Source organism: Homo sapiens, chromosome 12 (assembly GCF_000001405.40).
Source record: "Homo sapiens chromosome 12, GRCh38.p14 Primary Assembly".
Taxonomy (NCBI): domain Eukaryota; kingdom Metazoa; phylum Chordata; class Mammalia; order Primates; family Hominidae; genus Homo; species Homo sapiens.
In genome coordinates this window covers 123,284,754-123,311,302 of record NC_000012.12, presented here as the reverse complement: position 1 = coordinate 123,311,302, position 26,549 = coordinate 123,284,754, and the positions used below count along the sequence as shown (strand labels likewise).

General features: G+C 43.7%; 1 protein-coding gene across 2 annotated transcripts in view; it reads left to right on the top strand.

The window, feature by feature from the left end:
• The window catches only part of SBNO1 (strawberry notch homolog 1), a 75,739-nt gene extending 53,545 nt beyond the window's left edge, over positions 1-22,194 (top strand). For both annotated transcript variants that reach the window (NM_018183.5, NM_001167856.3), the window contains exons 25-32: positions 174-248; positions 1,447-1,593; positions 1,720-1,814; positions 1,901-1,993; positions 6,584-6,721; positions 8,403-8,479; positions 13,132-13,325; positions 15,253-22,194. In NM_018183.5, coding sequence (NP_060653.3) covers positions 174-248; positions 1,447-1,593; positions 1,720-1,814; positions 1,901-1,993; positions 6,584-6,721; positions 8,403-8,479; positions 13,132-13,325; positions 15,253-15,395 — 962 coding nt within the window. In that variant the 3' untranslated portion in view covers positions 15,396-22,194. The remainder of the gene's footprint in view (positions 1-173; positions 249-1,446; positions 1,594-1,719; positions 1,815-1,900; positions 1,994-6,583; positions 6,722-8,402; positions 8,480-13,131; positions 13,326-15,252) is intronic.

The following is a 26,549-nucleotide window of genomic DNA, read 5'->3' as shown; positions in this document are numbered from 1 at the left end:
AGATGACAGAGTGAACAAGGGCAGTTCTCTCCACATTTTCTCCATGTTTATATAAATATCAAGGTGTTTTTTTAAAATGGCATGATACTACTTACAACATACTTTTCTCACTTAGTGGTACATTGTAGACATCCCTTGTAATTTATGAGTCAGAATTGATCCTGTTCTTACAGATGTTCGACAAGGACTGATAGGCGTTGGCCTGATAAATGTAGAAGATCGCTCGGGAATTCTTACTCTCGATAAAGGTACTACTATTAGCTTTGTGTGGGCATATAACTGTTGCTATAGTATTAAAGTCCATTATGATATATGCTTTTGAGCTGAAGGGGAAGCTTCATGTTCTTAAAACATTCTGGGTGGTTTTGGCTGCTGTGGGGTATGTGTAAAAGATCCATGCATAGAGAAGCAGTTTTCAGCACTGGCTGCTGATATGATCAGCTCTCAAGCTTTTAAAAATTACTGAAGTCTGCTGGGCACGGTGGCTCACGCCTGTAATCCCAGCACCTTGGGAGGCTGAGGTGGGTAGATCACAAGGTCAGGAGTTTGCAACCAGCCTGGCCAATATGATGAAACCCCATCTCTACTAAAAATACAAAAATTAGCCGGGCCTGGTGGCGGGTGCCTGTAGTCCCAGCTACTCGGGAGGCTAAGGCAAGAGAATTACTTGAACCCGCGAGGCAGAGGTTGCAGTGAGCCGAGATTGCACCACTGCACTCCAACTTCGGCGACAATAGAGCAAGACTCCGTCTAAAAAAATAAAAAAAAATTGGTCGGGCGCGGTGGCTCACGCCTGTAATCCCATCACTTTGGGAGGCTGAGGCAGGCGTATCACAAGGTCAGGAGTCCAAGACCATCATGGCCAAGATGGTGGAACCCTGTCTCTACTAAAAATACAAAAATTATCCAGGCATAGTGGCGGGCGCCTGTAATCCCAGCTACTCAGGAGGCTGAGGCAGGAGAACTGCTTGAATCTGGCAGGGGGAGGTTGCAGTGAGCCAAGATTGCATGACTGCACTCCAGCCTGGGCAACAGCAGAGCAAGACTCCGTCTCAAGAAACAAAACAAAACGAAAAATTACTGAAGTCGGGTGGAGCTCAGACATCGGTAGTTTTCCAAAGCTCCCAGACATTCTAATAGTGCCACTACAGTTGAGAATTCAGTGTTGGAGAACTAACTTTCTTATGTACTGAATTGTGTTCATACTTTCCATAAGTGAGGCTGAAGATGCAAAAATTCAATTTGACAAACCTCTTTTGAGCGTGTCCTGCAGTGGTGCTAATTGCTAGAGAGAGAAATGGGCAGATTACAGCCTTGTTGTGAGGACAGTGTAAGAGTTAAGAAGGAAGACTTTTAGAAGAGAAAGTGGGACTTGAACTAAGCCTAGATGAATAAAAAATTTTTAATTATCATTTGCATGAAAACGTTTATCTTTTGTCATTACAGATTATAACAACATAGGAAAATTCTTAAATAGAATTTTAGGCATGGAGGTGCATCAGCAGAATGCGTTATTTCAGTATTTTGCGGACACACTTACTGCAGTTGTTCAAAATGCCAAAAAAAATGGAAGATATGATATGGGAATCTTAGGTAAGTAGGGAAAATTTCCCCCCCACAATGTCCCCAGGGAAAATGTGGAGTGGAGAAATTCTTTAAACGTGTGTACCTGATAAAAATGTTCTTTTTACATTTACATGTTTCTTTTTCTTGTTCAAGATCTTGGTTCTGGAGATGAAAAAGTGCGGAAAAGTGATGTTAAAAAGTTTCTGACTCCAGGATATTCAACCTCTGGCCACGTAGAATTATACACAGTAAGTTTAGAAAATGTTGTGAAGTATCGTCTTCCCATGAGATGCATTTACAGAAATGAGTTTAAATTTCGTTGTTTCTCTTACAGATTAGTGTAGAGAGGGGAATGTCATGGGAGGAAGCTACCAAGATTTGGGCTGAGCTGACAGGACCAGACGATGGCTTTTACTTGTCATTGCAAGTACGACTTTTCCTTTAAATTCTATTCAGATATATAATACTTTTTAATGGCCAGCATTGTAATTGTCTCTTCACTTTGTACCTGTTTCCCAGTTGTGTTTAGCTTTGTCTATTTTGGTAATTTATCATTGTAATTGTGTGTTTGTCCATTTGTGTTATGTTTTTACTTAATGCATTTTAAAGGATGTTATTAGGTGTGGGTTTAGAATTGTTACATTTTCTTCTTTTTTTTTCTTTCTGAGACAGAGTTTCGCTCTTTGTTGCCCAGGCTGGAGTGCAATGGCACGATCTCAGCTCACCTCATCCTCTGCCTCCCGAGTAGCTGAGATTACAAGCATGTGCCACTAGGCCTGGCTGACATGTATTTTTAGTAGAGACGGGGTTTCTTCACTTTGGTCAGGCTGTTCTCAAACTCCCGACCTCAGGTGACCTGCCTGCCTCGGCCTTCCAAAGTGCTGGGATTAGAGGCGTGAGCCACTGTGCCCAGCCTAATTTTTTTATTTTTAGTAGAGGTGAAGTTTCACCATGTTGGCCAGGCTGGTCTCGAACTCCTGACCTCAGGTGATCTGCCTGCCTTGTCCTCCCAAAGGAATTATAGATGTGAGCCACCACACCTGGCTGAATTAACTTTTTTTTGAGATTGAGTCTTGCTGTGTTACCCAGGCTGGAGTGCAGTGGTGCGATCTCGGCTCACTGCAAGCTCCACCTCCCGGGTTCATGCCATTCTCTTTGCCTCAGCCTCCCGAGAGTAGCAGGGACTACAGGCGCCTGCCACCACGCCTGGCTAATTTTTTTTGTATTTTTAGTAGAGACAGGGTTTCACCGTGTTAGCCAAGATGGTCTCGATCTCCTGACCTCGTGATCTGCCCGCCTTGGCCTCCCAAAGTGCTGGGATTACAGGCTTGAGCCACTGCACCTGGCCAACATTTTCTTAAATTAAGCATTTTTCATAAGACAGAGACTTACTTTAGTCTTAATAATGCTTTATATCTTTAAGACTCATTTTTCAGTTAGTAAAATAGCTACATTCTTTCAGTTATGATTTGTCTCTGTGGACAGAACTAAGGGGTGTGTGTGCGCACACATCTATACATGTATGTGTAGATACTCAACAGTATGTAGATATTCAGCAGTATCTTGAGTTTCATATTTACTTACTCAGATCCAAGACAACAGAAATTTTATTTCGCCAGTTCTCTAAGATATTTGGGGTTGTGTTGTTTCGTTTTGTTTTGTTTTTTGAGGCAGTTTCAATCTGTCGCCCAGGCTGGAGTGCAGTGGCACGATCTTGGCTTACTGCAACCTCCGCCTCCCAGGTTCAAGCGATTCTCCTGCCACAGCCTCCCGAGTAGCTGGGACTACAGGCACGCACCACCACGCCTGGCTAAATTTCTTATTTTTAGTAGAGACAGGGTTTCACTGTGTTAGCCAGGATGGCCTCGATCTCCTGACCTCAGGTGATCCGCCTGCCTTGGCCTCCCAAAGTGCTGGGATTACAGGCATGAGCCACCGCGCCTGGCATGTGGCTAATTTTTTAATTTTTCTTTTGTAGAGATGGTGTCTCACTATGTTGACCAGGCTGGTTTGAAACTCTTGGCCTCAAGTGATCCTCCCACCTCTGCCTCCCAAAGTGCTGGGATTACAGGTGTGAACCACGCTGCCTGGCCCCTTCGTTCTTTTTTACAAGGCTGAGTAATATTTCATTGGTTGTATATAACATATTTTGCTTTCTGTTTACAAATATTTATGGAGTGACTGCAAGTAAGACCTGGTTCTTGCTCATATGAAGTACCTACATGTATGATGATGGCACAGGCAGGATGAAGTCATAAATGATCTAGGGCAGGAGTTGCTAAACTTTTTCTATGAAGGTCTGATATGTATGGTTTTGTAGGCCATATGTGGTCTATATTGCATGTCCTCTGTGTTTTCCTTCCTTCCTTTCTCTTTTTTTTCCCACCTTCCTTCATTCCTTCTTAATCTTACTTCAGTTTAGGAGTGCCAAGCTAGATTTATTCCACAGGCCTAAGCTGCTGATCCTTGACCTAGAGAAAAGCTCTCAAAGGATCTGGCTCCTAGTTGAGTTGGGGTTTTTTGGTTTGGTTTTGTTTTTTGTAATGGGATCTCGCTCGCTCTGTCACCCAGGCTGATAAGCAGTGGCGTGCGTGATCATGGCTCACTGCAGCTTCAACCTCCTGGGCTCAGACAATCCTCCCACCTCAGCCTCTTAAGTAGCTGGGACCACAGGTACACTCCACCACATTTGGCTTTTTTTTTTTTTTTTTTTTTTAATGCAGTTGATGTCTCACTGTGTTGTCCAGGCTGGTCTCAAACTCCTAGGCTTAAATGATCCTCCCACCTCGGCCTCCCAAAGTGCTGGATTACAGTTGTGAGCTACTGTGCCTTGCTGGTTTTGGGGTTTTTGAAATACTGATTGAACTGTAGGTTGATTTGCATGTCATTATAAGAAACAGTACAGATAAACATCTTGCATACTTTTATCAGTTACCCCAGTGGTAATATTTTTTAAAACTGTAGTGTAATATCACAACCAAGATGTTGATATTGGTAGAATTCAAGTATTTTACTCGGCTATCCCCCATAGATGCAATTTTGATTGGTCCACATAAGGTGTTGGTTATTTTCAGGACAGTCTCGAACTCCTCCTGGGCTTGATCCATCCTCTCACCTTGTCCACCTGAATAGCTGGGATTACAGGCATGCACCACTGCACCTGGCTCTTGGTTATTATTTTTAAATTGAAATTATTGCCAGAATATCACCGTTGGTAGATTGTGATGAAAGTCCTGATCCCCAGCTTCTCTTAGGTTGAAGGATGTGATAATACTGGTCCTTCATTCTCTGTGTGGCAACAGGTGGCTGGGCGTGAGGAGTGGTGGTCCTAGAGACCTCATTCCTGGTCTTCGTTTGCCTTTGAACCTCCACTGCATTAGGCCACCATACTTTTCAGTGTGTGTAGCCTGTGCTGCCATTGGGAAAACAATGTCAGAATCACTTTCCACTGTTCTGTGATGATGTATAATTAACCTGACACTGTCAAGACAGAGCCCATTGTTAAGTGTCTTAAACACTATCCTCTAAGTATAGGTTTGGATATTTCCTGTCAGCTGATAAATAATTTTAAATATAATCTTCACCTTAACCATTGTTTTATGACTTTACAGTAATTATATAAACAATGTTTCAATTCGTTGGAAAAAGTAAGAGACCAAGGGTCTTTAATATCCATGAAGAGGAAAGTAAAATATTGTGTTTTTCATTATAAGAATGAATATAAAAAGTTAATAGCCCCGCAAACAATGATTTATTGTGTAGAGGGCTGGGAAAATGGTTTTACTTTGAAACTTTTCTTTTTCCTTCCGTTTTGCTCCAGAAATGATTGTTTAGAAGCTGTTCAGTCTTTATAAAGAAGAAATGAATTTTCCAGTTGTTTTTCCTTGAGTTAAATGGAGTTTTAAGAGTAACTCCTTCCTCTTAAAGTTTTTCTCATAAATCCAACTTTAAAAAGTTAAAAATAGGCCAGGCGTGGTGGCTCACGTCTGTAATCCTAGCACTTTGGGAGGCCGGGGCGGGTGGATCACCTGAGGTCAGGAGTTTGAGACCAGCCTGGCCAACATGGAGAAACCCCATCTCTACTAAAAATACAAAATTAGCCAGGCATGGTGGTGAGTACCTGTAGTCCCAGCTACTCGGGAGGCTGAGGCAGGAGAATCGCCTTGAACCTGGGAGGCGGAGCTTGCAGTGAGCCGAGATCGCGCCCTTGTGCTCCAGGCTGGTGACAGAGCAAGACTGTCTCAAAAACAAAAAAAAAAGTTAAAAATACATACCTAAATTCCAACATTTCTCTAATGCTTCCCTTTCTTCCATTTTTACCTCCATATGTGTGGACAATTTGTTCAACATTTTTGCTTTCTGCTGCCATAGCAGCTTTGATGTTTACAGAACACTTTATCATGTGATCTCTCACTTTGCCCTTCAAAACCCTGTGACATCGGGAAAGGCAGTACTGACGGAGTAGACAAGTGCAGAGGACTGGGGCCATCCAAGGCCTTATCTTGGAGGGGCTTGAATTCTATTGTTAACTTGAAAGGAGAGTAACATTTCTTTTTCCATTTTACTGAGAAATGTTTAAAAACATACAGCAGAGCTTAAAGAATTTTCTCTGAAGACCCCTAATGCCTACTGCCTGGATTCCACTGTTAACATTTTATTACACTTGGTTTTTCTTACCTCTCTGAGGCTGCTTGACTGGGATTCCAGGTACAGGAAATAAAAGAAGCAAAATGATCTGTGTTGGACATTTGTGCATTAAAGCTAATTCCACGTAGTTTTCTGAAGATAACTTTGGTCTTTAACCTTCATCTTTAGCCAGAATTAAGGTCCAATAACTGCCTCTTGGGTGTGACTGTGTTAGTCTTTTAAACAAGCATTTTCGGTCCTTTTTGAAGTTACCGTGTACTTACTTAGTGTTATAGTCTCAAATGATTATGTTTGCTGACGTGATGGTACAGAAACATGTCTTAAAGTGTGTATTATAAAATCTTTATATTTTGTCATTTTCTTTAAACAGATAAGGAACAACAAGAAAACTGCCATCTTAGTTAAAGAAGTGAATCCTAAAAAGAAACTTTTCTTAGTTTATCGACCAAATACTGGGAAGCAGCTCAAATTAGAAATTTATGCTGATCTAAAAAAGAAATATAAGAAGGTATTTTTTCATTTGTACATTATATTATATAGGAATACTTACTTTGGGCCAGGCAATGTGGCTCACACCTGTAATCTCAGCACTTTGGGAGGCCGAGGTGGGCAGATCACCTGAGGTCAGGAGTTCGAGACCAGCCTGACCAACATGGAGAAACCCCGTCTCTACTAAAAATGCAAAATATTATCCCAGGATGGTGATGCATACCTGTAATTCCAGCCACTTGGGAGGCCGAGGTAGGAGAATCACTTGAACCCGGGAGGCGGAGGTTGCAGTGAGCCAAGATCACGCTATTGCTCTCCAGCCCGGGCAACAAGCGCGAAACTTCGTCTCAAAAAAAAGAATACTTACTTTAGCTGGGCACAGTGGCTCACGCCTGTAATCTTAGTACTTTGGGAGGCCAAGGCGGTTGGATCACCTGAGGTCAGGAGTTTGAGACCAGCCTGGCCCATATGGCGAAACCTCATCTCTACTAAAGATAGAAAAGATAGCCAGGCGTAGTGTTGCATGCCTGTAATCCCAGTTACTCAGGAGGCTGAGGCAGGAGAATCACTTTAACCTGTGAAGTGGAGGAGGCTTGCAGTAAGCCGAGATTGCACCACTGCACTCCAGCCAGGGAGACAGAGCAAGACTCCGTCTCAAAAAAAAAAAAAAAAAAAAAAGAATACTTATTTTATAATATATTGAAATTGTTTAAGATAGCTTTTCTAGGTATGAAATTATATTTTCTTTTTCTTTCTTTCTTTTTTTTTAAATGAGGTCTCACTGTGTTGCAGAGGCTGAGCTGGTCTGGAACTCATGGGCTCAAGTGATTGTCCACTTCTGCCTCCCAAAGTGCTAGAATTAACAGGTGTCAGCCACCGCACCCAGCCTGGTTTAAGGAAAGTGTCAACTTTTGTTATGCTAATATCACAGTCTTAATGTTACCAGCCTTAAGAAACTTCTAAGGTTCTGTTACCCAGGCTGGGAGTGTAGTGGCGCGATCTTGGCTCACTGTAACCTCCGCCTCCCGGGTTCAAGTGATTCTCATGCCTCAGCTTCCCAAGTAGCTGGGATTATAGGCATGTGCCACACACCTGGCTAGTTTTTTTTTGTATGTTTAGTAGAGACGGAATTTCACCATGTTAGCCAGGCTGGTCTTGAACTCCTGGCCTTAAGTGATCCACCCGCCTCAGCCTCCCAAAGTGCTGGGATTATAGGCATGAGCCACCGTGCCCAGCCTAAAATGATTATTTGAAACAGCTTATCTCTTCAGTAAAGGAAGCTTCCAGTGCTAATCACAAAAGTTAGAATGTTTAAAGCCCTTCTCACTACCTCTTAGTTTTATTGTGAGGATGCCTCTATGTTTATATTTTGCAATGATTTATAGAAAATGTTAAGCGACCACTTTTCCTAACATTTACTATTAGGTTTTATTTTATTAATATTACCTTATATTATTATTTGTAGCCATTCTGATTTGAAAACAATTATAGTTAAGTAGTTATTTGAAAAATGTATTACATAAGAGGAACCAGCATGACAGAGCTTTTCAAATGGCGTTCAGATTCAGTTAATAGCAAGGGTTAGGCTTTTTGTGTAGAGATTATTTTAAATTGGCTACCTCTAGAATTACAGACCAGACTAGGTAACCAGTTTATTTAAAGCAATACTGTTTTCAATGAAATTCTTCTCATTTTTACAGGTCGTCTCAGATGATGCCCTGATGCACTGGTTAGATCAGTATAATTCATCTGCAGATACTTGTACTCATGCTTATTGGTTAGTATTTTCGTGTTTCCTACCAAATTTTCCAAAATTTAATTGAGATTTAAATACACCTTCACTCTTTATCAGTATGTCCTCATGAATTAACTAACAGATTAAGTATTGTCAGGCGTGGTGTGTTCCATCAGGAATATTTACTGGACAGTTGTAGACTAGAAACTGTTTAGTTTATGTACCTCCTTACTCTTCACTGATGCTTTCTTATTTCCAGCCAACTGTTGTCTGGCAGCATGACCTTAACAGTTATCCTTCATATTAGAACTTGCTTTTTCACGGCTGGGTGTGGTGGCTCACGCCTGTAATCCCAGCACTTTGGGAGGCTGAGGTGGGCGGATCACCTGAGGTCAGGAGTTCAAGACCATCCTGGCCAACATGGTGAAACCCCATCTCTACTAAAAATACAAAACAATTAGCCGGTGTGATGGCAGGCACCTGTAATCCCAGCTACTTGGGAGGCTGAGGCAGGAGAATCGCTTGAACCCGGAAGGTGGAAGTTGCAGTGAGTCAAAATTGCGCCATTGCACTCCAGCCTGGGGGACAGAGCGAGACTCCATTAAAAAAAAAAAACAAAAAAAAAAACAATAAGGCCAGGTGTGGTGGCTTACGCCTGTAATCCCAGCACTTTGGGAGGCCAAGGCAGGTGGATAATCTAAGGTCGGGAGTTCGAGACCAGCCTGACCAACATGGAGAAACCCTCTCTACTAAAAAAAAAATTAGCTGGGTGTGGTGGCGCATGCCTGTAATCTCAGCTATTCAGGAGGCCGAGGCAGAATTGTTTGAACCCGGGAGGCGGAGGTTGTGGTGAGCCGAGATTGCACCACTGCACTCCAGCCTGGGCAACAAGAGCAAAAACTGTCTCTTAAAAAAAAAAACAAACCACTTTTTCGCCCTCCTTCTGTCACTCTCCCTTCATGTTTTTTTGTTTGGTTGGTTATTTTAAAGAGACAGTCTCCCTATATCACCTAGGCTGGAGTACAGTGCAGCAATCATAGCTCACTGCAGCCTCAAACTCCTCCCATCTCAGCCTCCTGAGTAGCTGGGCTCTTTTCTTTCTTCCTCTCTTTTTTAAAAAAGCTTTACTGGTGTCCCAGATCTAGGGAATGTCTAAGAAACCAGGGAGATTCCCAAAGTTAATAGCACAGCACATGCAAACTTTTGTTGTTGAGTCTTGGAGCTCTTCCTGCTGTGCCCCCTCACCCCTTGGCTTACAGTGTTCACTTTGTGACCTCGTATACTCTTATACTCTGCAAATCATAGTTTTCTTCTCATTGTTCTCTCCCTCATTAAGTAGTTAATGCTCTTACAGTATCTGGCCCACTTCATGAAAAGGAATATGAGATGTAAATGAATTTTAGCTTGAGGGGCTTTTTGTTTGTTTTGATTGTTTGGGCTGTTCTGCAGGTAGATAAGTTGGCTTTGATGTGAGTAGTGCTTTTGGTTTTCATTATGAGAGTAAATTAGTGCCACTGAAAATTAGAAAAAATCTGTAAGATAAAATGTTTTAAAAGGTAGGCTGGCTAGGCACCATTGGCTTGCTGGTAGTACCAGCACTTTGAGAGGTCGAGATGGATCACATGAGTCCAGGAATTCAAGACCAGCCTGGCCAACATGGTGAAACCACGTCTCTACTAAAAATAAAAAAATTAGCAGGGCATGGTGGCAGACGCCTGTAATCCCAGCTACTTGGGAGGCTGAGGCATGAGAATCGCTTGAGCCTGTGAGGCAAAAGTTGCGGTGAGCTGAGATCGTGGCACTGCACCCCTGTCTGGATGACAGCAAGACGTGGTCTAAAAAAAAAAGTTTTAAAAGTTAACCTACTAACTTGGGTTTTTTTTTTGTTTTTTTTTGTTTTTTTTTTGAGATGGTGTCCTTGCTCTGTCACCCAGGCTGGAGTGCAGTGGCACGATCTCAGCTCACTGCAACCTCCATCTCCCAGGTTCAAGCAGTTCTCCTGCCTCAGCCTCCCGAGTAGCTAGGACTACAGTGCCTGCCACCATGCGCAGCTAATTTTTGTATTTTTAGTAGAGACAGGGTTTTACCATGTTGGCCAAGCTGGTCTCGAACTCCTGACTTTGTGATCTGCCCACCACGGCCTCCCAAAGTGCTGGGATTACAGGCATAAGCCACCGCGCCTTGCCCCTACAAACATTTCTTTTTTTTGAGATGGAGTCTCGCTCTGTCACCCAGGCTGGAGTGCAGTGGTGTGATCTCGGCTCACTGCAAGCTCCACCTCCCAGGTTCACGGCATTCTTCTGCCTCAGCCTCCTGAGTAGCTGGGACTACAGGCACCCGCCAACCACGCCCGGCTAATTTTTTGTATTTTTAGTAGAGACGGGGTTTCACCGTGTTAGCCATGATGGTCTTGATCTCCTGACCTCGTGATCCGCCTGCCTCTGCCTCCCAGAGTGCTGGGATTACAGGCTTGAGCCACTGCGCCTGGCCTAAACATTTTCTAAAACATTTCCTCTGGGGACAGTGCAGTGGCTCCTAGCACTTTGGGAGATCAAGATGAGAGGATTGCTTGAGGCCGGGAGTTTGAGACCAACCTCCTCAACACAGCAAGACTCCATCTCTACAAAAAATTAACTTAAAAAACAACAAACATTTGCTTTGAGTTATAGCAAGAAAAGTGTCCTATATACCTACATTTAACACTGTATTAGATTCGTCTTGAGTTAGTACTAACCAGAAGGGCATCTTTATTGATGAATATTCTGAAGATAATTTTAACCAGAAAACATTGATGGTATTTCTCCTTTTTCTCATTTCTTCTTAAATTTACATGTAGCCTCTCGCTCCCCTCCCACCCCTTTCCATCTCTCTAGATTGCTGAGTCCTTCCCACTAATGTGATTTAGAACCAGTGTATCAGTAGTTTCATAATATAGAAATAACTGGCAGGATCTTCCCCCCTCCTTCTTTTCTTTTCACAGGTATTGCTTGTTTTTTCATGGCAGGATCTCTCAGGATCTTTTTTCTTTTTTAAACAGAGGGCTTGAGTGCAATGGCACCATCTTGGCTCACTGCACCTTCTGCCTCCCAGGTTCAAGCGATTCTCGTGCCTCAACCACCTGAGTAGCTGGGATTACAGGCATGCGCCAACACACTTGGCTTTTTTGTTTTTTTTTTTTTTTTTTGAAGACAGAGTCTTGCTGTGTCGCCCATGCCAGAGTGTAGTGGCCTGATCTTGGCTCACTGCAAGCTCCGCCTCTGAGGTTTACGCCATTCTTCTGCCTCAGCCTCCCGAGTAGCTGGGACTACAGGTGCCCGCCACCACACCCTGCAAATTTTTTGTATTTTTAGTAGAGACGGGGTTTCACCATGTTAGCCAGGATGCTCTGGATCTCCTGACCTCATGATCTGCCTGCTTCGGCCTCCCAAAGTGCTGAGATTACAGGCGTGAGCCATCGTGCCCAGCCAGTTTTTTGTTTTGTTTTGTTTCGTTTTTTTTGAGACAGAGTCTCACTCTGTTGCCCAGGCTGGAGTGCAGTGGCACGATCTCGGCTCACTGCAAGCTCCGCCTCCTGGGTTCACGCCATTCTCCTGCCTCAGCTTCCCGAGTAGCTGGGACTACAGGTGCCTGCCACCACTCCTGGCTAATTTTTTGTATTTTTAATAGAGACAGGGTTTCACCGTGTTAGCCAGGATGGTCTCAGTCTCCTGACTTTGTGATCAGCCGGCCTTGTCCTCCCAAAGTGCTGGGATTACAGGCGTGAGCCACCGCACCCAGCCCATACCTGGCTAATTTTTGTATTTTCAGTAGAAATGAGGTTTCTCCACGTTGGCCAGGCTGATCTCAAACTCCTGGTCTCAAGCTGTCTGCATGCCTCAGCCTCCCAAAGTGCTGGGGTTACAGGCATGAGCCACCATACCTAATTATTTTAAACTTTTTGTAGAGATAGAGCCTCGCCATGTTGCACAGGCTGGTCTCAAACTCCTGAACTCGAACAATACTCCCTCCTCAGCCTCCCAAAGAGCTGTGATTACAGGCATGAGCCACCCTGCCCGGCTAGCAAGATCATTTTATAAAGTAGCAATATTGCAGTAAAATAATGGATATTAAAATGACTAAAATGCTTCAACAGATAGCAAACACAATAAATTCAACCCTTTTTATTGGGAGGCAGGCCCCTGAAAAAATCGTGGTTTTAAAAATCAGCCTGATACCTTAAATTGGAAATGCTAACCCAATGGGCCAACAGAATTATAATCTAAGAAATAGTAAAGGCAAATACTGCTGAAACATTGTTTATTTGAAATTTGAGGCCAAGAGCGGTGGCTCACGCCTGTAATCCCGGCCCTTTGGGAAGCCAAGGGTGGATCACCTGAGGTCAGGAGTTTAAGACCAGCCTGCCCAACATGGCAAAACACCGTCTCTACTAAAAATACAAAACAACAACAACAACAAAAAAAAGTCCCAGTTACTCGGGAGGCTGAGGCAGGAGAATCACTTGACCCTGGGAGGCAGAGGTTGCAATGAGCCGAGATCGCACCACTGCGCTCCAGTCTGGGCAACAAGAGCAAAACTCCATCTCAACAAAAAAAAAAGAAAAGAAAAGAAATTTGAGTTGACCTTGTAAATCTTTTAGAAACGTGTCTGTGTGCATATATAGACACTCATATGTATTTCTTTCCCATTTTTCTTAGGCGCGGCAATTGCAAAAAAGCAAGCTTGGGGCTAGTTTGTGAAATAGGTCTTCGTTGCCGTACATATTATGTATTATGTGGTTCAGTGCTGAGTGTCTGGACAAAAGTTGAGGGTGTTCTAGCATCTGTCAGTGGCACAAACGTGAAGATGCAGATCGTGCGGCTAAGAACGGAAGATGGGCAACGGATTGTAGGTGAGTCTAATTTTTGTTTTGGTTTGAGTTGCAGGAAAAAATCGGATCCGACTTTTTTCTCATTGCTAATATCTTAGCTTTATTCCACATGCATCTAACATCTCTTCCAGTAGTGGGTATGGGACCCGTTTTATATTTCTTACAAGGTTGAACAGAAGTTAAGCCTTCAAACAGACATTGTTGGTTCTGGTTGAAGTTATGATGTGGTCATCTCTTTGATGCTGCTCTCAGCTGCTCTTGCTCTCCTTCTCTACTCTTGGTGGCTGTGCAGGCTCCCTGGTGTGTAGACAGTTCAGCCTCTTGCCCAGGAGTTCTCCATTGAGCTAACTTAAGACTCTGGAATTCAAAAGCCACTGTGCACAGAGAATGGCTTGGTGTCCTGCAGGGAGCAAGGGTAGACTAGGCCAGCTATTCTCACCGTGTGCTCAACTACAGGTGTCCAGGAAGCAGGGCAGCAACTGGACTCTGTTTGCTTATCTTGGTTTCGCTTACAGCAGCCTTCCTCTACCACGGATTGCATATCGGGAGTTCATGGGCCAAAGTCAGTCTATGGAATTTTTTTTTTTTTTTTTTTTTTGGACACCAGTATTTTGGGATGTTGTAGGTTTTCATTTGAATTAATGAATTTTTTTTTTTTTTTTTTTTTTTGAGACTGAGTCTCACTGTGTCGCCCAGGCTGGAGTGCAGTGGCGTGCTCCCGGCTCACTGCAACCTCCGCCTCCCGAGTAGCTGGGATTACAGGCATGCACCACCACACCTGGCTAATTTTTATATTTTTTTAGTGGAGATGGGTTTTCACCATGTTGGCCAGGCTAGTCTCAAACTCCTGACCTCAAGTGATCCGCCCACCTCAGCTTCCCAAAGTGCTGGGATTATAGGCGTGAGCCACCGAGCCCAGCCTCATTTGAATTAATTGCCAACATTTAAAAATCAAGAGGTTTCATATAAAAGTCTAGATTTCCAGTTTCAAAAGCAGCCCATCAGCTGGGCATGGTAGTTCACCTTGTAATCCCAGCATTTTGGGAGGCTGAGGCAGGAGGATTGCTGGAGTCCAGGAGTTTGAGACCAGCCTAGGCAACACAGTGAGACCTTGTCTCTATTTAAAAAAAAAACAAATAGGGCCGGGCACGGTGGCTCACACCTATAATCCCAGCACTTTGGGAGGCCGAGGCAGGTGGATCATGAAGTCAAGAGATCGAGATCATCCTGGCCAACATCGTGAAACCCTGTCTCTACTAAAAATACAAAAATTAACCAGGCGTGGTGGCAGGTGCCTGTAGTCTCAGCTACTTGGGAGGCTGAGGCAGGAGAATCACTTCAACCCGGGAGGCGGAGGTTGCAATGAGCCAAGATTGTGCCACTGCACTCCAGCCTGGCGACAGAGCAATACTCCATCTCAGAAAAAAAAAACAAAAAAAAAAACACATATATATATGCATGCAATTTATCTGGAACATTGAGCCTTCAATCCTACATGCAGGACTTAAAGTTCCCTTAACCAGCACCCAGAGAGTATCCTTTCCAGTTTGCTAGTATCTGCTCTTCTAAGTTAACCTGTTTCGGTTAGCATTTGAATTTGCAACTTCTGTTCTGTAGTCTTTTGGTGCATTAAAAGATAATACATAGAATAATAGATATTCTTAACCTCCTGTTAAAAAGAGAATAATAGATATTCTTGACTTCCTATTCCTCCAACAAGATAGCATTACACTAAACACATGCATATGCTTGGGTATTTGTGGGAAATGCTGTGGAAGAATCAGACTACATCTCAATGGCCATTTCATTTATTAGGTAGTCGTTTAATTTTTGTGTGAACTTCTTGTCCATTACGCTTAATATTATGCCTCATTTGGAATCTGCTGTGAAGCTGTACAGTGTGGTTTCTTCTGGACACAACTTGATAAATTCTTGTTACTAATTACAGGTTTGATCATTCCGGCAAATTGTGTGTCTCCTCTTGTAAATCTCCTATCAACTTCAGACCAGTCTCAACAGCTTGCGGTCCAACAGAAACAGCTATGGCAACAGCATCACCCTCAGAGCATCACCAACTTGAGCAACGCATGAAGAACAGACAGGTTTCAACATGGATGGATCTGAAATGCTGTTGAAGCATATCATTTGCATAAAAATCAGGGACAGTTTCCAAAGAATTATATATTTTTTTCAGTTGTGCTCTCTAGTTAGTTTTTTTGGGAGTAAGGACAAACCTGGAATAGATAGCAAAACTGAAAATCAGCAGTGCTGATGGTGGTACATATGTCTTTCCTTTAGCTTCTCCCCTGATAATTCCCATCTGCTTTTACTTCGGGTGAGCAGAGGGGGATGTGTGTGTGCGTGTGTGTCAGTCTGTTTGTGAGTGTGTTAAAGGCTACAGACCACAGTTGGTTTAAAATGCTTGGAACTTCCCAAACTGGCTTTACTTTATGTTTATACAGTGCTCAGGGTTAACGCAGTACATCCATGCCATTGCTGTGGGAGGTATCCCCGGATGCATGTGTTTTGAGTCTATAAATATAGAAAATATATATTGGTTTCTTTTTCCAACTTAATAGGTTTATTAAAGCATGAAATGAAAGGTTGCATATCATGCATTCAGGTTATTTTCTAATTTTTGTTCTGACAGTGCATGTCTTTGGAAGCATGCTGAAACAAGATTAACACAGGAGTCGAGTAACAGAGAGAAACATTTGTTAGATGTACAGCATTGGTTATTGCATTTTTATAGTGTTTATACCTGGGTATTGCTTCAAACCCTGCAGACCCCTCCTTCCCCTTCTCCCTGCCCTGGGTTTCTGGTCAAGGTAATGAATACATACATTTTTCTGTGATAAAACTCTTAAAAGTTAATTTTAATGTATTAATAGTATTCCTAATGTGTGCTGCAGAAATGGCTATGAGCCTCTTAAATTTACATTTGCAACTTAAAGGTAGTTTTAGAAGGAAGTACAAATTGGCTTTCATCTTGCAAACAATCGTTTTTTACTTCATTATCTTAATTTGCTTTGTCACTCATAAAAAGGAAACCATACCTGAGTTGTAGACAATGAGGAAACACTTGAGGCTTCTGCTGTGTGTTCTTTTGTTATTGTTGTTATTGTTGTTACTCAGTAACTTGAATATTGTTTAATGTGTTGTAAGACGTAGAGTTTATCTCAAGCTGTTAAAAATGGTAATGTACAAATGTGAATAGACACTTATCTATATAATATGGGTAAGTTTTGTTTCGCCTATAATAGATGTTTATAAAAACAAGTGAGGGGACAGTTGGTCTTTTTATCTTTTCTTTCTTTTTCTTTCTTTTCTTTTTTTCTTTTTTTTTTTTTTTTTTTTTTTTTTTGCTTCCACAGGTTGCACTATTGAAAAATCGAGATTGTATAAACCTGGTAAAAAGCTGCAAGATGCCAAAATCTTGTAGATGTCAAATAAAAAGTTATTATACTAACAAGAAGTGGACTCTTGTTTAGGCCCTCACTGGTGACCTTCAGAAGTAGTCTGTGACGGGGACTCAGCAGAATTTGTGTGTTGTCTCAGCATTCCAGGTAGCCTTATAGTTTGGCTTAAAACTTATCCCTAAAATGTAAGATGGCATTGAGGGAAAGGGTATAATGATAGTACTTCTGAATGTTTTTTAAGTTGAATTGTTTGTAAACTTCTTGCAGAATTGGGTGAGATGTGTGTTAAAACTGACAAACCTGGCTGAAAGCTTAGGGCGTTCATCCTCTTGTGTCTCCTTTAGCCTGAGTTTGGTTATGTCAAGCTTACCGTAAGTTTTCTTAGGATTTATTTATTCTTGGTGCCTAAAAGAATAAATTGAAAGTACTTTCTGTTCTTTGGCACATTTTGCCCAGCGGATGCAACTTCTATCCTCAGTCCAGTTCATATATCTCAGGCAGTGATCCATTTTGTATCAGCCAGTTTCCCTTGTTAGGGCCGCTAGACCCGGCTGGCAGCCAAGAGCAGCACTCTCCCCACCTTCAGCAGAACTTCTCAGCTCATGTGTGTGTTTTTAAAAGCAGTAGGCAGCTTCCATCAGCAATGGAAGTGTCCCCCACTCCAGTGGTGGAGGTGCAGTCGCTGGACCTGAGGAAGTGGGGAAGCATTACAAACCCTCCTGCAGTAAGAATGGCAGAGTTGGGAAGGATCTTCTCTCGCAGGCTGTTGGCCCAACTCCTCTTTTCTGTGTATGAGGGCATCTTAGTTTTTTATGGCGTTTTCAAAGCAGCATATGAGGATTCTTAGCATGCAGCTAAGTGACAACCCCCATGGCCTATGATGTAATGTTTGCTCTGGACTAGCCATCTTGATAAATAGGAGTGTATGTATCTTAGGTTCTTTGTAGAACAGCTATTTTTTTTTCTCATTAAAAAGGCCTCTGAAAGCCCTCTCAAAATGGACCTCACAAAGGCAACCAGTGTGAATGGATGGGAGCTGGGGTGCTGCATGCCCAGGCTGGTCATGGTGTGTGCAGCACCCAGAGAGTTGCACCCACCCCTTCTTCAGGTGGACATCCGACCTTTACACTGTGGTCTTGCAAAAATCAGCGAGTTAGTTTGGCCGCCCTGTGAAGCTTCAGCATTCAAGGTCCTCTTCTGTTAAAACCCAACTCGTAGCCGGGCGTGGTGGCTCACTCCTATAATCCCAGCACTTCGGGAGGCCAAGGCAGGTGCATCACTTGAGGCCAGGAGTTCGAGACCAGCCTGGTCCACATGGCAAAACCCCATCTGTACCAAAAAATACAAAAAATTTGCCGCTGACTTCTGTAAAATAGGTCCATTCATTGCAGGATCTAAATGCCACACCTGAATTCAGAGGCCTTGTTTAATTAACCCCATGTCCACTTTGCCTCTGCAATGCCTTTTTCTTTTTAGCAATATGGCTCTGAGCACAAAGATTTGGTTGGAAATCATGTTCGTGTTTTCAGAGTTTACAGCGTCAATTGTACTGAAAACCACTTCCAGAGTCTAAAGCAGCTCAGATGTTATCTCTGGGGGAATTAGTGTTCCCCTCATTTAGCAACCTCCATACCACAAGGTCTCTGTCTGTAGTTACTGGGATTATCCAGATACACTATCAATGATACAAATTCATAGGAGTATTAATGCATTTCTTTAAACACAACTTGATTAAGAAGCAAATATGTTAAGCAGTTTTCTTTTTCTGCTGCTAAATTACAGTTAGACACTTCAGTATCTTCTCTTTACATGTGTATATAAATTAGTAAGAACCTGCATCCAAAGCAATGTAGTGTGTGTATGTATCTATATATATTTATTCTAACTCAGCACTTCAGAAGCCTTTTTGAGTTACAACAATATTTTAGTTTGCCTCATCTGTAGAGGTAAAATTTCTATATTACCAAGCTCCAGAGGAATATGATATTTTACAGGCACAATTTTCTGGCTGTAGTCCCTGGGGCATTCATTTGCTGGCCTCCATGGGATGCTGTTAGAACAATTGTTAGCCGGCAAGAGAAGAAAGGCTACCAGGACAGCATTTATAATTGTAGAATGGGAGCCTTCTTCCCTCTCCCCTCCACTTTCATTTTAGCATGAGATAAAAAAATAGATTGGAAATGATTGTTGCATCTCACTTCATGGAAGTAGGGGCAGAAGTTCCCTCTGGATCCTTTTCTTGACAAGCAGTCAAGAGGAAGGTCCCCATACACATGTACCTGTGTGATACTTGGTAGTTTCTAAGAATGGTGCTACATAAGCGTTGCTGTTAGGCTGGGATCCTATTAATGAACGTTTGATTAGTTCAGGCCTCCCAATGGCAAAGGCAGACACCGTGGAGATGGACATTTACTGACTCCCCTTCTGTGTGGCTTCGGTCTCCCTGGCTAACACCACACCTGTGCGTACTGCGCTCGGCCCACTTTGCTGCAGAAACGTAGCAAGCGTTTCATGTCAGGGCTACAGCTGAGAGCAAAAACTGCAAAAAAAAAAAAAAATGTCTCATTGAATGCCAGTTGTCTGATACAAATGCAGTGTCTTTTAAGTGACAGAAACACACCTAAATACCTGCAACTCAAGCTCGCTAGCATTTTTTTTTTGAGTACTTGAGATAAAATCCAAAACCCACCCTCTAATTTTGTGCTGTATTTATATATATGTACATAAATGTATATATAGAGAAATGTTGAGTTCTTCTGGATTCTGAATGTAAATAATTCTTGTAAATTGGGACTCTGCCCACCTGTTTCTCCCTTTTCCCTCTTCCCTTCAGCTCTATTTATTCTTTTCTTGACTTTCCCATATGGGGCATCTTATGACTTTTTTTTTTTTTTTTTTTTAAGAAAAGTATGGAAAACTTTTCATTTAGAAAAGTATTTGTTCCTGTATTTTAGAATTCAGTTTTGCATCTTTGCTGTAGAATTCCTGTTTTGTGTTAATGTTTTTTACTATGTCTTATTGTGTTGTGTGCAATGCATTGTACTGGGGGGATGCACTTGAGTGCCATTTCTGATACTGTCATTGTATGACTGCTGATGCTCGTTTATGTTGTTCTTTGGAAGCTATAGTGAGCCTGATGTTTTCACATTTTAAAAAATGCTTCCTGAGACTTCTTTAAGCTCCTCTAACTTCTTCAGTGCATTTGGGATCAAACTTAGCTCTTAGATCAGCAAACCTGACTTGCTTCTACTTTTGCAATTTTTCAGGCCTTACCATATTTCTTATCTCTGTCTTCCCACCTGATAGGAAAATCTTGCAGATTTGAAACAGTGGTTTCTGGCCTGCTGCTGCAGCAAATTCCCTATGTTTATTTAAGAAGTCGGGCCTATGCTTTTAACCTACAAATGATGAGTAATTTACTTGCAATGAACACAGGTAGCCTGCTGCTGTTTATAACCTGTTGAGGATATTTATAGCAGGCAGGAGGCAGGCCTAGTGTGTTATTGACAGGTGACTTTAGAGAATGTACATTGGCCGGGTGCGGTGGCTCACGCCTGTAATCCCAGCACTTTGGGAGGCCGAGGCGGGCGGATCATGAGGTCAGGAGATTGAGACCATCTCCTGGCTAACACGGTGAAACCCCGTCTCTACTAAAAATACAAAAAAAAAAAAAACTTAGCCAGGCGTGGTGGCGGGTGCCTGTAGTCCCAGCTACTCAGGAGGCTGAGGCAGGAGAATGGCATGAACCTGGGAGGCAGAGCTTGCAGTGAGCCCAGATCGCGCCACTGCACTCCAGCCTGGGCAACAGACCGAGACTCCGTCTCGAAAAAAAAAAAAGAGAGAGAATGTACATTAAGGAACAATTGTCCTCCAAAAGAGAGCCAAGCAACTGCTCTGGAGCCTCCTAGGCTGACTCTGCTGGAGGGTGAGACAAGCAGATTCCCATTGCAGCACTGGTCCCTGGGGTACCCTGAACGGCTGTGCTCTCCACCCTTGTATCGGTGAGTGGATCTTGTCTACATCAGCCGTAAGCCTAGAAGCAGAGCGGGATCGAGGCGTTTTTAATAATTCGAGTTGGGAAGACCCGGATGGTTCATCAAAATGATGGTGTTGAGCACCCGGGAGGCAGACATTGGGTATTTGTTCACAATTTTGCACCTGTAAGAAAATGTTCCTTTATAACTTTCAAGGATTGCCGTGAGCGTCTTTGGGGCCTTTTCATTCATGTACAAGTTTCATTCATTACTATTCAACTTGGTAGACTTGGTGAAAAATGTAAAAGCATTCTGTATTTGGATCAGTCTTGGGAACTAAATTTGTCGTGAATTGGGGCCTGTCACAGATTGCCTCCAGTGTGCATCCTCCACGCAGACCCTCCTTGCTCAGTCTCCCTCTGGCGCCCATGGGGAAGCCGTGCTGTGGTTGGCAGTGCGGCCATCTGGGCTGCCGCAACGTGGCAGGGCACCGTCCAGCAAGACTGCCCCTTAGTGCAGGGCTAAGCAAGGAAAAGAAGAAGCCCAAAAAGGCGGGTTCTTTTTGATACTTGTAATTCAGGCGTCCTCCAGAGTGAAGGCCACTCTGCAGGCCCCTGGTGAGAACCTGTCTGGCTTTTCCACTGCGGGCCCCTAACCAGTACCCTGCCCTTGTGGCCCATTTGTGCCTGGGCAGATGTTTCTGGCCAGCAGACACTGAAGGCCTTTTTGCTGTGACAGTATTTATGGCACTGAAGAGGATAAAGAAGCTTGAGCCCTCTTTCTGACTCCCACTTTATGGGGCAGAGAGAGCTTTTTTTCTACATAGCACATTGCAGTCTCACCGCTATCAGAAAAATATCCTGTTCATGGTTTATACTGAATTTGCAAACTACTGATATGATTTTTCAATAACCACTTGTATCTTCCATCATCCATGAGAGGTGGGAAGAGGTACACTGTATCTCTGCAATAAAACTTTGGCCAGGTTCTACCTCCTCTGAGCAAAGGATACTTTTCTATGTAGGTGTAGATGGTTCTCCTTTACTAATCTGACATGGTGCATCTGGAGACAACATCTGATGGGATCCAAAGACAACTTGAAACAAAGGTGGATGTCAGCTCTTGGTGTGTTTTCATTTGGTTCTCTTTTTTAAATCTCCCTTTTGTTATCGCTCCTGTTGTAGCGTGTCCATCAGTGTGTGAAGGGTGCGCCCTGTTCCAATGATACTGCATTGCTGCATCCAGCCTTTCGTGGGAGCACGGTACCAAGCGTCCGGAATTGATTATCCCAATCATTTTTGATATGTAACTGAAAAATTTGGTCTCATGCAATAAAAATGTACTGGCTGCATTTTAGCAAGGTTTATTTACTCTTGCAAGTAAAAACGATCAACCGTGAAGCGTAACAAATTCTGTATTTAGTTTTTTTTTCTGTTGTGGTGGTTTTTGTTTTGTTTTTTGTTTTTGTAAGATTCTAAATAAATTAAATACGAGTCACGGGTTGTGCTTTCTTTGCGCGCTGTCTTCGCAGATCTCATGAACATCTTCATAGTGTCTTTATAAAATGTAAGTGCTGTCACCGTGCCTTTGCAGATGGCACAGGCACTGAGTCAGGGAGCCAGCCAGGGTGGGGCGGTGCCCAGCCCAGGTGCAGTGTGTGGGCCCGGAGTGGGCTGCTGTCTTGGACTGCTGCGGAAGGCGGTGGGAGGGAGAAAGGGCTGGGATGCGAGTGGGAATCTGAGCAGCGTTTAGTGCATGGCTTGTCTGGGAGTTTCTCTGTGATTATTTCAAATACTTGGGAGAAGGATGTTCAAATTTTAGCTTGAAATGCGTAAGGGTATTCGATCAAATTTGTAAATAGCATTAATGTTTAGGGGGGATTTAACCTCCTGAATATATGAGATAATTGAGCATTAATTGAGGAACAAGTCAAAAGGAAGTGTTTTAACTAAAATTTGATTCAGTATTTTTGAGTTTGAAAATTGAAAGAAACAGGTTTTTAAATGTATAACCTTAATAAATTGTGCATTGGCCAGGCACGGTGGCTTACACCTGTAATCCCAGCACTTTGGGAGGTCGAGGCGGGCGGATCACCTGAGGTCAGGAGTTCAAGACCAGCCTGGTCATCGTGGTGAACCCTCGTCTCTACTAAAAATACAAAAAGCTGGCGAGCTGGCGGACACCTGTAATCCTAGCTACTTCGGAGGCTGAGGCAGGAGAATCACTTGAACCTGGGAGGCAGAGGTGGCAGTGAGCCGAGTTCGTGCCATTGTACTCCGGCCTGGGCAACAATAGCAAAACTCTGTCTCAAAAAATAAAAAATAAATTGGGTATTTATATGTTTTTTGTTTTTTTTTTTGTTTTGTTTTGTTTTGTTTTTTTGAGACAGAGTCTCACTCCGTCGCCCAGGCTGGAGTGCAGTGGCGTTATCTCGGCTCACTGCAACCTGTCTCCCGAGTTCAAGGGATTCTCCTGCCTCCGCCTCCCAAGTATCTGGGATTACAGGCGCCCGCCACCATGCCCAGCTAATTTTTGTGTTTTTATTAGAGGTTGGGTTTCGCCATGTTGGCCAGGCTGATCTCGAACTCTTGGCCTCAAGTGATCCACCTACCTTGGCCACCCAAAGTGCTGGGATTACATGTGTGAGCACCCTGCTGAGTATTAATTTGAGTAAGAAATAATGGCCGAAGGCCGGGCATGGTGGTTTAGGCATTTAATTCCAGCACTTTGGGAGGCCGAGGCGGGCAGATCATGAGGTCAGGAGATCGAGACCATCCTGTCTAATACAGTGAAACCCCGTCTCTACTAAAAATACAAAAAATTAGCTGGGCGTGGTGGTGGAAGCCTGTAGTCCCAGCTACTTGGGAGGCTGAGGCAGGAGAATGACGTGAACCCGGGAGGCAGAGCTTGCAGTGAGCCAAGATCGCGCCACTGCACTCCAGCCTGGAGGACAGCCAGACTCCATCTCAAAAAAAAAAAAAAAAAAAGAATGGCTGCTTGTAGTGGCTCATGCCTGTAATCCCAACACTTTGGGAGGCCAAGGCGGGTGGATCACTTGAGGCCAGGAGTTTGAGACCAGCCTGGCCAACATGGCAAAACCCTGCTTCTACAAAAATAAAATTAGCTGGGCATGGTGCCACGTGCCTGTAGTCCCAGCTACTTGGGAGGCTGAGGGGCAGGAGGATTGCCTGAGCTGGGGAGGTGGAGGCTGCAGTGAGCCATGATTGCTCCACTGCACTCCAATCTGGGTGACAGAGTAAGACCCAGTCTTAGAGGGTAAAAGATGAAAGCAAACTTTGGATCGTGCCTCCGCCAGCCCCCTTGTGTTTTTCTGTTAGAATTCCAGGCTGCTTTGACCTTCCTTCCCTTGGGGTTTTGCTCTCCCTCAGTCTTGTTTTTGCTTCACCTTGGGTTGGCCTGGGCCCTGTTGACATTTGAGCCAAGTCATTCTTTGCAGTGGAGGTATCCTGGGCACTGTCGGATGTTGAACAGCATCACTGGCCTCCACCCACAGATGCCAGGAGCACACATCATCCCCACATTTTTAACAACCCAAAATCTCTCCAGACGTTGGCAAATGTCTCCTGGGGGGCAAAATCAATCCTGGTTGAGAATCACTGCTCTAGGCAAATTAGTCATAGAGGAGAAAGCTGGTTGTGTGTGTGTGTGTATACATGTGCATGTGTGCTTTTTACATATGAACAAAGGGCACCACCCCCGAGATACAGAAGATACAAATGTTAACTGGCTGGGCGTTTGGAGTATGTACAATACAATTTCCATAAGTATGAATATTTATCAGCTAGTCATTTGAGAGCATGATGTAAAGAAGCCATCTGTGGAGGCCTTTATGAGAGAGAAGAGGCTAAAAGAAATGTGCCGAATGCTTATTTTTAGAGTCCGATTCTCAGTAAGTTGGCTCCATCCTCTAACGCTGCCCACTCTGGGTGGTAAGTGCCTTACTGGGTTGAGAGGGGCAAGGGCCACACTATTGGGTCTGAATCATCTTTTTTTTTTTTTTTTTTTTTTTGAGATGGAGTTTCACTCTTGTCACCCAGGCTGGAGTGCAGTGGCGCCATCTCGGCTCACTGCAACCTCCACGTCCCGGGTTCAAGCGATTTTCCTGCCTCAGCCTTCCGAGTACCTGGGATTACAGGTTCCTGCCACCATGCCCGGCTCATTTTTTGTATTTTTAGTAGAGACGGGCTTTCACCATGTTGGGCAGGCTGGTCTTGAACTCCTGACCTCAGGTGATCCGCCTGCCTCGGCCTCCCAAAGTGTTGGGATTACAGGCGTGAGCCACTGTCCCTGGCCATCATCATCTTTCAGTAAAGAAATATCACTGTGGCCAGGCACAGTGGCTCACACCTGTAAGCCCAGCACTTTGGTAGGCTGAGGTGGGAGGATCAACATGAGGTCAGGAGTTCAAGACCAGCCTGGCCAACATGGCAAAACCCTGTCTCTACTAAAAATACAAAAACTAGCTGGGCTTGGTGGCGGGCACCTACTGTAATCCCAGGTACTCAGGGGGCTGAGGCAGGAGAATCACTTGAACCGGGGAGGCGGAGGTTGCAGTGAGCTGAGATCACGCCACTACACTCCAGCCTGGGCGACAAAGCCAGACTCCATCTCAAAAAAATAAAAAAAAACAAAACTGAGTATCATGCAAAGGTAGGATAGCTAGGTGCCTGTTAAATTAGTCTGAATACTTCATGTAACTTTTTTTTTCTCTTTTTGAGACAGAGTCTCGCTCTGTATTTTTAGTAAAGATGGGATTTCACCATGTTGGCAAGGTTGGTCTCGAACTCCTGACCTCGTGATCCACCCACCTCGGCCTCCCGAAGTGCTGGGATTATAGGCGTGAGCCACTGCGCCTGGCCCAAACCATATTAATTGTAGGAAATTCAACAGCATGAACCTGTAAGTCGTGTTTTGTGAAGATACCTAAACTGGTGGTAGGAACAAGAGGCCCTACAGTCTCTTCCACCTCTACTCCTGGATACAGGTAAATTATACAAAGCTCTCAATTCCTGCATTGATGCTGGATTTCTGTTTAGCTTTCTGTTCCCACAGTTTCTGCTTTTTGTGTGTATCTTATTTGGAGGTACCTTTATGAAGATAGGTTTATTGTGTCCTCAAATGTCCCATTTTTTTTCCCTGCCTATGGGGAAATAGGCTTAAGAAACAAATTTGTGGCCAGGCGCAGTGGCTCATGCCTGTAATCCCAACACTGGAAGACTGAGGCGGGCTGATCACTTGAGGTCAGGAGTTCGGGACCAGCCTGGCCAACATGGTGAAACCCTGTCTCTACTAAAAATGCAAAAATTAGCCGGGCGTGGTGGTGGGTGCCTGTAAGTCCCAGCTACTCGGGAGGCTGAGACAGGAGAATCCCTTGAGCCCTTTAATCCCAGCTACTCGGGAGGCTGAGGCAGGAGAATCACTTGAGCCCGGGAGGCGGAGGTTGCGGTGAGCCGAGATCGCGCCATTGCACAGCAGCCTGGGCAATAAAGTGAAACTCCATCTCAAAGAAAAAAAAAAAAGAAAGAAACTTGTGTGGACTAAAAGAGGAATTGGCCAACTATGGTCCATGGGTCAAGTCCAGCCTGCCACCTGTTTTTCACTGGCCTCATAAGCTGAGAATGGTTTTGAGAACATTTTTAAATGGTTGGAAAAAATAAAAAGAATATTTTCTAACATGTGAGAAGTATGTGAAATTCAAATTTCAGTGTCCATAAATAAAGTTTTATTGGAACACAGCCATGCCCATTCTCTTATGTATTGTCTCTGGCAGTGTGAGAGCTGCGACAGCACCGTTGCATAGTTACAGAGTCTATATGGCCTACAAAGCCTGA